This window comes from Homo sapiens, chromosome X (genome assembly GCF_000001405.40).
Source record: "Homo sapiens chromosome X, GRCh38.p14 Primary Assembly".
Taxonomy (NCBI): domain Eukaryota; kingdom Metazoa; phylum Chordata; class Mammalia; order Primates; family Hominidae; genus Homo; species Homo sapiens.
Window position 1 is genome coordinate 96,428,059 of NC_000023.11, and position 13,720 is coordinate 96,441,778.

At 39.1% G+C, this 13,720-nt stretch overlaps 1 long non-coding RNA gene across 1 annotated transcript in view; it reads right to left on the minus strand.

Annotated features, from left to right (window-relative positions):
- Positions 1-212: 212 nt before the first annotated feature.
- Positions 213-13,720, minus strand: part of LOC107985714 (uncharacterized) — a 114,069-nt gene continuing 100,561 nt past the window's right edge. The window contains exons 2-3 of the long non-coding RNA XR_001755917.2: positions 12,596-12,644; positions 213-2,035 (exon numbers count right to left, since the gene is read on the minus strand). This is a non-coding gene — a long non-coding RNA (uncharacterized LOC107985714). The remainder of the gene's footprint in view (positions 2,036-12,595; positions 12,645-13,720) is intronic.

Consider the following 13,720-nt stretch of genomic DNA (forward strand, 5'->3'; position numbering starts at 1 on the left):
CTCTTCTAAGGAGTATCTTTGTGGTGTTCTCTGTATTTCCTGAATTTGAATGTTGGCCTCTCTTGCTAGGTTCGGGAAGTTCTCCTGGATTACATCCTGAAGTGTGTTTTCCAACTTGGTTCCTTTCTCCCCATCACTTTCAGGTACACCAATCAAACGTAGGTTTGGTCTTTTCATATAGTCCCATATTTCTTGGAGGCTTGGTTCGTTCCTTTTTATTCTTTTTTCTCTAATCTTGTCTTCATGCTTTATTTCATTAAGTTGATCTTCAATCTCTGATATCCTTTGTTCTGCTTGATTGATTCGGCTATTGATACTTGCGTATGCTTCACGAAGTTCTCGTGCTGTGTTTTTCAGTTCCATCAGGTCATTTATGTTCTTTTCTAAACTAGTTATTCTAGTTAGCAATTCCTCTAACCTTTTATCAAGGTTCTTAGCTTCCTTGCATTGGGTTATAACATGCTCCTTTAGCTTGGAGAAGTTTGTTATTTCCCACCTTCTGAAGCCTACTTCTGTCAATTCATCAAACTTATTCTCCATCCAGTTTTGTTCCCTTGCTGGCCAGGTGTTGTGATCCTCTGGAGGAGAAGAGGCATTCTGGTTTTTGGAATTTTCAGCCTTTTTGTGCTGGTTTTTCCTCATCTCCATGGATTTATCTACCTTTGGTCTTTGCTGTTGGTGACCTTTGGATGGAGTTTTTGCATGGTCATCCTTTTTGTTAATGTTGATGCTATTGCTTTCTTTTTGTTAGTTTTCCTTCTGTCAGGCCCCTCTTCTGTAGGTCTGCTGGAGTTTGCTGGGGTTCCACTCCAGACCCTGTTTGCCTGGGTATCACCAGTGGAGGCTGCAGAACAGCAAAGATTGCTGTCTGTTCCTTCCTCTGGAAGCTTCGTCCCAGAGGGGCACCTGCCAGATGCCAGCCAGTGCTTTCCTGTATGACGTGTCTGTCCACCCCTGCTGGGAGGTGTCTCCTTTTCGGGAGGCACGGGGTTCAGGGACCCACTTGAGGAGGCAGTCTGACCCTTAGCAGAGCTCTAGCACTGTGCTGGGAGATCCACTGCTCTCTTCAGAGCCAGCAGGCAGGAACGCTTAAGGGCGCCCACAGCTCCCCATTCCCCCAGGTGCTCCGTCCCAGAGAGATGGGACTTTTAGCTATAAGCCCCTGACTGGGGCTGCTGCCTTTCTTTCAGAGATGTCCTGCCCAGAGAGGAGGAATCTAGAGAGGCAGTCTGGCTATAGCGGCTTTGCTGAGCTGCGGTGGGTCCGAACTTCCAGGCGGCTTTGTTTACACTGTGTGAGGAAAACCGACTACTCAAGCCTCAGTAATGGCGGGCGCCCCTTCCCCCACCAAGCTCGGGCACCCCTCCCCCCACCAAGCTCGAGCATCTCAGGTTGACTTCAGACTGTGAAGTCTGACTGTGCTGGCAGCAAGAATTTCAAGCCAGTGGATCTTAGCTTGCTGGGCTCTTTGGGGGTGGGATCTGCTGAGCAAGACCACTTGGCTCCCTGGCTTCAGCCCCCCTTCCAGGGGAGTGAACGGTTCTGTCTCACTGGCGTTCCAGGTGCCACTAGGACAAGAAAAAAGCTCCTCCAGTTAGCTCAGTGTCTGCCCAAATGGCCGCCCAGTTTTGTGCTTGAAACCCAGGGCCTTGGTGGTGTAGGCACCTGAGGGAATCTCCTGGTCTGCGGATTGCGAAGACCATGGGAAAAGCACAGTGTCTGAGCTGGATAGCACCATCCCTCACAGCATGGTCCCTCATGGCTTCCCTTGGCTAGGAAAGGAAGTTCCCCGACCCCTTGCGCTTCCCAGGTGAGGCGACACTCCACCCTGCTTCTGCTCACCCTCTGGGGGCTGCACCCACTATCTAACCAGTCTCAGTGAGATGAACCGGGTACCTTAGTTGGAAATGCACAAATCACTGACCTTTTGCGTTGGTCTCGTTGGAAGCTGCAGACTGGAGCTGCTCCTATTCAGCCATCTTGCCCAGGAATAATCAACACTTCCCTTTTCTTTAAATAGAAGTTGTTTGGGAGACTGATAATAAATAGAGATGCATTGTATAATTACATCTAATATACAATATGTGACTTTTCATCACAACTTCTTATTAATCCCCTAATAGGGTCCCCAAAAAGCATCTTGAATGACTCTAATGAAACAATATTATGCTAGTCAGAACTAGATTTTAAATCAGAATTAATACTTTATTTTATTTGCTGACTGTATTAATGGGAAAATGACAAGAATAGTTAGTATATTTCTAGAGGAAATCAAGCTGAGATAGAACATTTTATTATTACAGAATTTTATTCTAGAGCAAACACATTTGAGATTAAAACTTAAATTATACATCACACTTTTGTAAATGTAAAACAGAAGATAGAGACAGAAAAGCTAGTTCATTTCAGATTCATATGCCGAAATGGAGATTTTATGTTTAATATTGCTGAGGTTTTGTGATTAAGCCTTAAACGTACAGGGGTGGCTATTTTAAGGCTCTACAGAATGTTAACTTCTGCACTTGATGTTAGCCAAAAGGCCAAGAAGTGATCAGAATGTCAACTTCTGTACATTCCCTTGGTAAAATTTCACTGCAGATAAAATGAGAAAAGCAGTTAAAAACAAAACCATGCAAGCAAACAAAGAGAAAATCTAGGAAACATAAAAAAGAACCCGGTGAAAAGTTACTTTTTTTTGATGCATTGTTGTCTTCATGCGTTTGACAATGAAAGATACTACTAATAGAACCTAATGTTCCCTTCTGGCACCCTAGACTCAAATTCCATGTGCAAGACTAGTGTTTGCTCTTATTGCCAGCTATGGCAGTATTCTCCCTAGGGGGCCCTGTCCTCTGGCCCTTCATGGGCACCAGAATCAGGAAAAGAACTCATTGTGCTAACAATAGCAAGATAAAGGAAGACTGGTAAATACATGAGCTGCTGGATATGTGGCCTGGCTTTGTTGTTTTCAGTATGTCACATCCACAGTTTTGTTTTCAATGGAAACGTGTTAACACTGAGTTGAAAGTTAGGGACCTGGGTTTTAAGTCATGGCTCTGACACTAACTGGCTCTATAATCTTAGGCAAGCTGTTTTACCTCTCAGGGTTTTAGACTAGAATAGTCACTAGGTGACCTCTATGAGCACCATTCAGAGACTTGAAGTCAAAGTCAAAAGCAAAGGCAATTGTTTGAACAATGTTATCTTAGATCAAATCACCCCAGCTGATCCCAGATATGTGAGAGGCACTGTAGAAAAGTACTTATTAATGTGCTTCTGGAACCAGACTTCCTCTTATTACCTTTGTGACCAGGGTCAAATTTCTTTTCTGTACCCTCATTTCCTTTTCTATAAAATGGGAATAATAACAGTACCTATCCCACAGGGTTATTATAAGGATTAACTGAAATTATCTATGTACAACCCTAAGAGCATCATCTGTTTATTCCTAATACATGCAGGAAGAGTTAATGAATTAATGAAGCTAGGTACTTTCCAGTAGCAGATGGGTTCAAGAACACAAATAGAATAATAAGGCTTTTAAACAAAGAAGACACTTCCTCCTAAAGTGACACTATTTTACTCCACACTCACACCCCCAGTTATTTTCCAGCAAGATGAATCACTAACTCTATCTAACACCAGAATCACCCGAATGGCTTGTTACAACAAAGGTTGCTGGTCTCAGTCCTACTGATTTAGTAGGTCTGGGATGGGGTAGAAAATTTGCATTTCCAACAAGTTTCCAAGTGTTGTTGATATTGGTGGCCCAGGAATCATACTTTGAGAACTACTGCGCTAAATAAAATCTCCCTGATTTCTCATAGTCAGAGAACTATCAGGACCTGCATAAATTGGGTGCCCGAGGACGACACCATCTCTTATTCCTTGACTCAACAGTACAGCTTGCTAGCCTGTGTATGACTACCAACATACCTGACCACACTTCGAGAACCACCGATCTAGTAAATCGCACTATTTGTTCCCTTCCTCACTATGTTCCAGCCACAATGGCTTTTTTCTGTTCTTAAAACCAGCTAAAGACTCTACCTCACAGTTCCTATAATTTCTAAAATTTACACTTGGAAATCTGCTCTCTTAGATCTTCACATGGCTGGCTCACCTCCTCTTTCAACAATCACCTCTTCTTTATAAGTATGTATATTTATGAAGAAAAACAAGAAGAGGTATTACATTTTATTACCACAGAAATTCATTATGGCGAAAACATATTTGAGATTAGAAACTTTAATTATAAATCACACTTTTTATAAAAAGAACCCCCCATTCCAGCTTATCACCTTGTTTTAGTTCCCTCATATCAATTATCTGATCTGTAAATATATAATTTTTTTCATAAATGTATTTGCTTGCTTGTTTTCTTCCCCCATAGAATGTAAGCTCCACAAGGTTGGAAGTTCTTTTTTAAGTAACTCTAATCCAAACACCTAAAAGACCACTAGGAATATAGTAAGCATTCAATAAATATTTATCAAATGAATGAATAATCCAGAAAGGAGCCATTTGCATCAGACTTCATATCACTGCTCCATGGAGAGTGAAAGTCTCTCTAGTTTTCATGCCTACCAAACTAGTAGAGATCCAGCTTTCCTTCCAGAAGTAATATAATTTTAGTCCTCTTTAATCCTAGTTGTGTGAAGACTCTAAAAGGAAACTAAAGAATGTTCCATAAATGCAGTGTTGCTTTGTACTAATTATCTAAATATAAGTAAACCAACTTCTCAGAGTGACCTAAAACAAAAAATATGCAGGGTTATGCCACTTGCACTGTTGCTTGTTAAGCCAAGAACAAAATGTTACAGAGTGGAATGAGTTCCATCCACTGAAGAAAACAAAGCCGGTTCACTATGTCTTCTTCAATAGTGATGCTGCTGACAGATTTTGTTGTTAACAGGTATTCAGTCTATACCCATTCATGAAAGGGAAGAGTTAATTCCTCTGGGTGAGCAGGAGGAACAGGTCTCATGGTCAACCTTACATTCCAGTTTCCTCTTAGAGATGCACAAAACACATGGGAACAGAATGAAGGTTTTGAGAAGTCCTATATCAAAAAGGCTTTGAATTTGGTTAAGCCATGTTTCCCAATTTTGACCCATCCATGTGAGCAAAATACTGTAGGAAAAGCAAGTTCATGGTCCACAGCATTGACTTGTATGCTTGTTTTGTTTAGTGACAAACTCTTAGTGGGACAGCTAACTAGTGCACAAGTTCAGTAAGACTGTACAAGAATGTGAACCTTCAGTGAAGGAACAATGGGTCATTCATTTTACAAGGTACTTACCATTATCCAGATTTCTAGAACAATATTCTAGCTCTTTAGCCACCACCCCCGCCCCCAACCAAACTGCCTAGAAACCTAATGTGTTTGAATTTCTTCATACCTAGTTTGCAGCTCTTCAATCAAAGTCATTGGAGACAAGGAGTGGTTTTTAAAATTTCCAATGATTTAGCACAGTTTTAGAGGGACATGCATGGAGCCATGAAGAAGGAAGGCAGCCAAATCAATAGTGTCACATCTGAGGTCAATGGGTGACAGATGTCACTGTCAGACACACAAACTGATCATTTGCCTGCTCTTTAGTTTTCCCAGAGAGGGACTTCTAATGAACCCACACGGACTTCAAGGAGTTTTCTCTTTGGAAAGGATCATGGTTTTTCCATAAGAATGCCAAAAGAATTAATCTTTTGTCACTTGTGTTTATTTCTCAAGAGGCTTTTAGTCATTGCTGCTCCACAGCTCTAAGTGACAATAGTGCACAGGATACATTTACTTTTTTTTTTTTAAGGGGAAGCCAGCCTTCAAAACAGTAACATCCTGGACATTTTCCAGAAAGAGAGATTACAAAACTCACACCTGTGGCACTAACAGACATCAGTGTCTCTCTAGTGGTTGCCTGCCAACTTAACTCACCAAATAAACAGGAAGGGAATCTCTCAAGCCTTTATACATGTAGCCAGGACATTGGCTTTTAAATGATGAGACAAGAAATACTAAATAATACCTTTTATTAGCGGAACATAGCTAAAGTCTCAGAAAATTGTAAAGATTATTTTGAGTGTTGTTGGCACCTGAGGCTTGAATTCTGGGAGTTTTGCAAATTCTGCTTGAAGCTAAAGAGACTCTTATTTCAGGTCAGCCAGTGTGGTTATATTGACACATCTAAGGTTTTGTCTGTTCAGTCACATACTCAACAGGTTAAATTGATGGCTCGGTCATTCATTCAAATGTCTGAGGGGACTAAGTCCTGCTGTGCTATGGCAGCTTTAAATATTGATTCAGATACTTAACTCTTCCAAACTATTGTTTTCCATTAATGAATTTGTGTTATTTCCATACATAATAAACGTTACATATCTGATTATGAACAACAGCATCTCTATAAATCACAAAGTTCCCTCGTTTATGGAAAGAAAGGTTGCTAGGATGCTAGTTCCAATAACCAGAATAGCGTGCACATTTAAATATAATTAAGATAGAAAAGTTCAGAGATATGGGGGTGGACATTAGGTCTCATTCCCATTGTTCAACAAAGGATTATTGGCAACTGTCATGCACAAGGAAGGCTGCTGCTGTGCTATGGTAAGTTCCCGCAATTAAGGAGTTGTGAGGGAAAATAACCAGAGGAAAGATAATGATGAGGGGAAATAAGATACAAAAACTATTATAAATGGGACGAGTAAGACTTGAAACTTGTTGCATTTAAACTGGGCCTCAAAATACGTGTAGGAGTTCTGCCTCAAAACATAGGTAAAAATAAGAGGTTGGATGGTCCTGGTAGAGAGTATTATAAAAGCAATGGCAGTGGAAAAGGACAGATAGGAGCACCTGTGTGGGGGTGAGGAGGGGATGGGATGAGGGGTATATTAAATGTGTGTGTGTTTAGCTGAAACATAAGTACTAGCAAGGGAGTTGTTAGGGACAGGTGAAACTCAAATGATGAACTGCAGCCAAATCATGGAGGGCTTTGAATGCTAGATTAAAGAGAGAGTTGGCAGACAATGGGGAGACACCAAAGGCTTTTGAGGAGGAGAGTGATATTCGTTTAATGAATTAGAAGATGTATCTGGTAGTGATGTGGAGGGTGATGGGAGTTTAATGAAGACTAAGGCAGGAAGACTACTACCTGGTTGTCGTTGCAGAGAAAATATCATGGAAAAAAAATTGAAATGTAATCCCACAGCAATTAAAGTAGAACCTGAACTCCTAACATGCAAATGTCACTATCACCTCTTCCTATTTAGTATCCTCTATGTAGATGACTTATGAAGACCTAAATCAAAAACATAATGCTTTGCCAGGTTATTCTTTAGAATACAAAAGAGATCAATCAAATTCATAAAAAGCACAATTTTATTGTATATGTTTTACTGCTTGGATCGTCAATAACAGAGGGCATATAAAAAAACAAAATCAAGCATCTTTACTAGACTATGTAAAAGACACATGTGGTATCTTCCAAACATAAAAAAAAAAAATTTCAGACTTCAAAGCTAGCATTCTTCTATGACTCAGGTCATGAATAAAAACAGAAAAATAGTCCTAAGTACTGCTGTCCCACTTTATTTGATGGAGGCATTTTAGCTAAACTCTAAAGCTTGCTCTTGAATTAAAAAAAAATGAAATGAAAAAGAAAAAAGAGAGGCAGGAAATGTATTTCCATTGTTGTTCAGCAAAGCAGCTACACAATGCTGAAGGAAAAAAAAAGAATGACTTTAATATAAAAGTCTTGGATTCCGGCAAGCTTTGGATTATTCATACTGTTTGGCTCTGAGGGTCACAGAGGGAACCATATGTCAGTAGCAGCATGCTGGATGCCATTTTTTTCAGGCCTAAACAAAAATATCACAAATAATTACTTTGAAGTTGTCTTTTTCCCTTTTCCCTTTTGCTCCTCAGCTGATGTCTTTTTTTCATTTTCATTTTTTTTGTCCTTACCAATTAGGTAAATATGAAGTATATGATTAGTCAACAGAATATATTTTCAGAATGTAGTTCTTAGAAGTGATCATTTAACAGGCAACATGGTATATAAAAATAAAGAGTAAGGAGAGGAAAATAGCATCGTTTTAAACTTCTGGCATCTTAGTATGTTTATTTAATGGCATCCACTTTAAGAATCAAACATTATCATTGTCTTTTGCTTTCCTGTTATGGTTTTCAGCTCAACAAATTCCAGCTTCCTGATTTTGTCATACTAGGAATTCTGCTGCACTCACTCATCAGATCTATTTTTGGCATATGTATCCTGTTCTCCATCTCTAAGGGCATATTATCAAATTCTTCAAACTGACTCAGGGTGTCTGGTGATTTCTCAGACAGTTTGAGCGACTCAATAGGACACAATCATTCCATTAACCGTGCTATAGAACAAAAAACAAGTTATATCCTTATTTTCTGTCTGGAGGTTAGCATTGCCATATTACTATGTCCATATTTTCTTCTGTGGATGTTTAACTATATTTTCAATGTTCATTAGAACTGTTCCCCCAAATTATTAAATTCCCAGGGTTAATGCTCTTTTTATATAAAAAGAAGCCAGATATCCTTCATAACAGATCAAGGGCACTGCCTCTGTGACAACAAGGCCTACCCTTTTTGTTGGGTTTTCCAGTAGTGGGAACGGGTTGTACTTGGTGGTCCCGTATGCCTCAAGAAATTTTGCACATATGTCCAAATGCTAAAACATGCGATCTCTTATCCAAACAGAAATACAATTGCATTTATTATTTTTAGTCATATAAATTTATTCAACAAACATTTGCTGAGCACCTACTGAATACAACAGATTGATAGGCATACTGTAGAGAGGATACAATGATGCATGGGGCACGGCCCCTGCTCTCAAGAAACTTCTAATTTTTAGAGCATGAAGTGGGTGATAGTATAAGGTGAGCGTACAAGTAACTATAACACAAGGTAGAATATGATGAGGACAATTAAGAAAATGTTCTAGAGGAGGGCAGATCATAAATGGTGGCTAGATCAGAAAAGGATTCAGGAAGAAGTAGCAGTGGAACTATGGAGTTTAATGGAGAGCATCTCAACAGGCAGAGATAAGAGACGAAATGATCTAGGTAAAGGAAATAGCATACACATAGGCATGGAGGCAAGAAAACACATGGCAAGATTGGAGAAAGGCAAGGGATTCAGTCTGATGGACCATAGAATGTACATGCTTTGGTGGTAGACAATATAAAACTGTAAGAGTGGGTTGAGGCCATATCATGGAGGACCTCAGCTAGACTGAGAAGTTCAGGGTTTATTTAGCGCACAATGGGGAGGTAATAAAAGCCTCCAAGAAGGAGAATGACTTACTGACTGTATTTATTTCTGCATCTGTTTATTTTCACCTCTCCACATTTCAAAAGGAATTTGAGGCAACTAACAAAAATACAATGTAATAGAATAAAAATATGTAAAGAGTCCAAGATGAATGGTTAAAATAATAATAAGATAGTCAAATGACATCAGGAGTAGGTTGTGTACAAAAATTTTTAAAGAAGATCCTGCACAATTATTAACAGTAAAGGATAGAGTCAGCTCTGAGTTTCTAATTCACCAAAGCAGAGACGGAGATGTAGTATGTGGACTAATGACACAATCAAAACTGTACTTCATGAAAGTCAATCTGGCAGTGGCAGGGAGGAGGAACTGGAGTGTGGACAAGGTAAGAGAAGGGTAGACTGTTCAGAAAGTTATTACAATAGCAAGAACCTTAACAAGGGTGATGACAGGAAACTTTCTTACAGCATTTAGTTTATCTTAACAGAAGTCTAGCAAAGAGGATAAACTCATATCTTATTGGTCCAAAGCATGTTGCAAATGACAAACCCGAAAGAGGTATAAAACTCATTGGTGCTATTTTCTGTCTGCTACAGATGTTTTCCCTAGGGTGCGTATGTTGCACAATTAATATCTTTTAAGAGATTCTTCCCTGACTGTCCCCAGGCAGTTGGCAGGTTAAAGTCCTTTGTGTCCTCTGTGTGCAACAATGACATCTTGAACAGTTAGACTGTGTGGTACCTTTCAGAGTGGACTACTCTTTTGCAGTCTGAACACTGGTTAGCCATTTAAGAATAAATGTTCAGTTAATAACCAGTTTCTTTCAAAATAAATAAAGACTAAGCTTTTTTACCCCTTTTGTAGTGTTCACTTTCAGTATGATGATATGTGATGCTAGCAGCAGGAAAAAGAGATAGCTTGCAAAGGCAACTGCAGCTCCAAAATCACAAAAAAGGAAGTCAAAGTAGTAATGATACACATTCATTTCATTTTAGAACGCCTGGCCAAGGCAGCAAGATCTACTTTAACAACAGCAGTTGTATCCTGTGGTGAAAGTACGTTACTCCCTGCTGAGTCTAAATTATTCAGAAGCAGGGGTAAGTAGAGAGGCGGAGTCATTATCTCTACTGATGGGGGCATGTTAAGCTTTCCAAGCAAGGTATCATTCAAAGCATACACACACACACACACACACACACACACACACACACACACACACACAGATTCAAACATATATACATGTGTTTCAAAGTATATTCTATATTTTCAGCTACACTTTTGTCATCATATACTGCCAGAAGGACCCTCTCTTATTTAATCTTCACCTTCCTCCTGAATTACTCCATGGTTCCATTCTTCTTCTTTCCTTTCTTCCCACCACTTATCCTTCTGACCAAATAGCCTGCAAAAGGAATAGCTTTCAAATGGCTCTAATATCCCTACAGCTCTTTATTTCTGGTTAGCCACTGATCAGATGCTTTTATTTTTTTGTTGTGTAATATGAGACAGAAAGAAAGAGAATGTCACAGAGAGAGACAGAGAGAGAATGACACACAGAGAGCAAGAGAGAGAGAGAGAGAAGTAAATTATAAATTATAAAGCATAACAGTACAACAGTGGTTCTCAAATTTCAGCATACATCAGAATCATCTGGAAAACATGTTACAACAAAGACTACTGAGCTCATCCCCAAAGTTTCTGATTCAGTAGGTCTCAGGGGAACCCCAAAATGTGCATTTTGAACAAGATCTCAGGTGATGCTGATGCCGGTGGCCTTGGGACCACACTTAGAATATCACTGTACTAAAGTATTACTAAAAATGTTAAAACTACTGGGGGTTTCTTCCCAATCCCATGTTTCTTTCTCCCCTTGAGAGGCCATTACTATGCTTATTTTAAAGATCATTTCCTTGCTTTTTCAAAAACCCTAATTTTGTCATGTGTATGTCTCCCTAAACTATGATAAATAAATGGAGGTATATTCAGACCGCAGCGAAAAGGAATGAACTACAGCTACACACAATAACATGATGAATCTCAGAAACATAATTTCAGGTAAAAAAAAAAAAACAAGTTACTGAAGACTACACGTAGTACATGAGCATTTTTTAATGTTTCAATGCTTTTCATTCCCAGTTCTGCTTGATGACTTCCCCAGAAAGCCTTTATGCTTTTCACAGGTAGGAAATTGAATGTGCTTCACAACTTCCTTCCAAGGATCTCTAAGCACAACACACCTTCTTATTTAATCTAAAGTTGGGAGGTTGGTAAGAAAAGACATTTCCTAATTTTTATAATAAAATAGAACTGTGAAGTACAGAAAGAAATTATCTGAGGGTAAATGTCGTTGGAAAAATAAAGCCTAAAATCCAAGATTCTTGGAGACTTTTGTTGATGCCAATTAGTTTTATGTCTACAAGCAGTGGGATAGGATAATACAGTTAAAAAAAAAAAAGTTCTGGCTAGGAATTAGGAGAGGTGGATCCTAGTCCTGACCTTACTGTGGAAAAGTCAATTCATTTCTCTGGGTCTGTTTCTTCATCTACAAAATGAGGAGATTGATGGCTTTGAAACTGTCTTCAAAGGAGACTAGGCATTCTTCAGAGATACATCTGGAACCACGCTGGGCAATCGGAGGATGAGCAGGTGGGAGGCATAAAGGACACATAACATTTGAGGCTCAGGGCTTCTCTCCCCTTCTATCTGAGCCATTGAACTTTTATCTGATTTACATATTCTAGACTACTGCAAAAGAATTCATTTGGAGAAATAATTCCACTGATTGAAAAATCAAAGTTTGTAAAACATGGAATTAAGAGATTTGTAAGGGCCCTTCTAGCTCTAAAGTCTCTTACTATTATAAACCTTTACTACCTTTCTCAAAGCAATCTATATCCCACCACCACCACCAAAACTCTTTGATCTCAGTCTTGCTTTTCTCTTTAGAGAGACTTGAAATGTCAGCTCCCTCAACTTCCCATCTCAATACCAAACAACCTGTTCATTGCTGTACCCACCATCATCTTCTTTAATGTAGTCTCCGAATAAATCTCCTGATTTTCCTGTATCAGTGAATAACACCCTTTTCTAGTCCATTATCCACATTGATGCCAGAGTGTTTTTTTGGAATAAAGCAGAGTGAAGGAATTACAGGTACGCAGCTGACTCAGAGTTGAGATCATAGATATATTTCTATCCCTTATCTTTGCTGTTAATCCTCATGAATCCCCATAATCAAGGTGGGAGTTAAAGCTAATTAATCAGTGATGTCATTACATACTTTTTACTTACCTGTGTAATAATAAAGCAATCCAGTAGCTATCTTCTAGTACCGTTTTCCCTGAAAAAAACCATATAGTTACCAAAATTTCTTACTGGAAAATTTCTTCCAAGATCTTTGAATACTAAGATATAACTCATAAATTACAAATAAGTGATAGTGGATTGAAATAATAAAAGGCACTGATTCTCCTCTTTAGGGTAGTTGTAATCTGCGAATTTCTCCAAATATATGCCTTGGACAACTACCATCCCCCCCAATATAAGATCAGAGACCCTGTATGATAATATCCTGGATCAATGTTGCTTTGCTCTAACAAATTATCATCATTGGTTATTTTATTTAACAAGTATTTATTGAGCACTTGCACTGTGTTAGGTACTGTTCTGAGCATGAAAGATTCAGTCGTGAGCCAAACAATACACTGTGCTTTTTATTCTGTTTTCTTGGCAAGATTCATTCTCACTCCTCTGTCCACTGTTGCCTAAGAGGCTGACCCCTAAGAACTGGTTCACCTGGGCTCCTTGCCAGCTGGTTTCTCCCTGGGTTTTCATAACAGGAGGCATCGGTAGGAGAATGGCATAAATGAGAAGAGTCGGCCATTTCTTCTCCCGCTTCTCCTTACTGCCAGCGCCATGTCTTTCTCTGTCAGCAGTAGAGTCCCTTTAGCAAGACATCTTCTTTCAGGCAATCCGTCCTTCCCAGCTCCAGCTCTCACTGGGCTTCAGTAACATTCTTTCTTCCTCTCTCCCTATCAAGTCTAGTTTCAATATACCTTATTTCCTTAACCCTGCCCAAACTTACTACTGTAAGTAATTCTTTAAAATCTCTTTATTTGAACTATCTAAAATGATTTCTGTTTCCTCCAAAAACCCTGACATTATACAGTCTCTGAATTTACATATCTCAAATTTTATTCTCCCCTCCTTCTAGGGGGAAGAAAGAGATAACGTCAAGTATACAATGTATAATGAAATATTATAGCAATATGTGCTAAGAAGAAACAGTGAAGATGGATAAGAGTAATTGGGGTGGGAGAGGTGGAGATAAACTATTTTAACAGATAGTAGAATGGAAATGTATCTAAAGAAGTAACATTTTAACACAGATTTGAATAAAATGATGGAATTAATCAT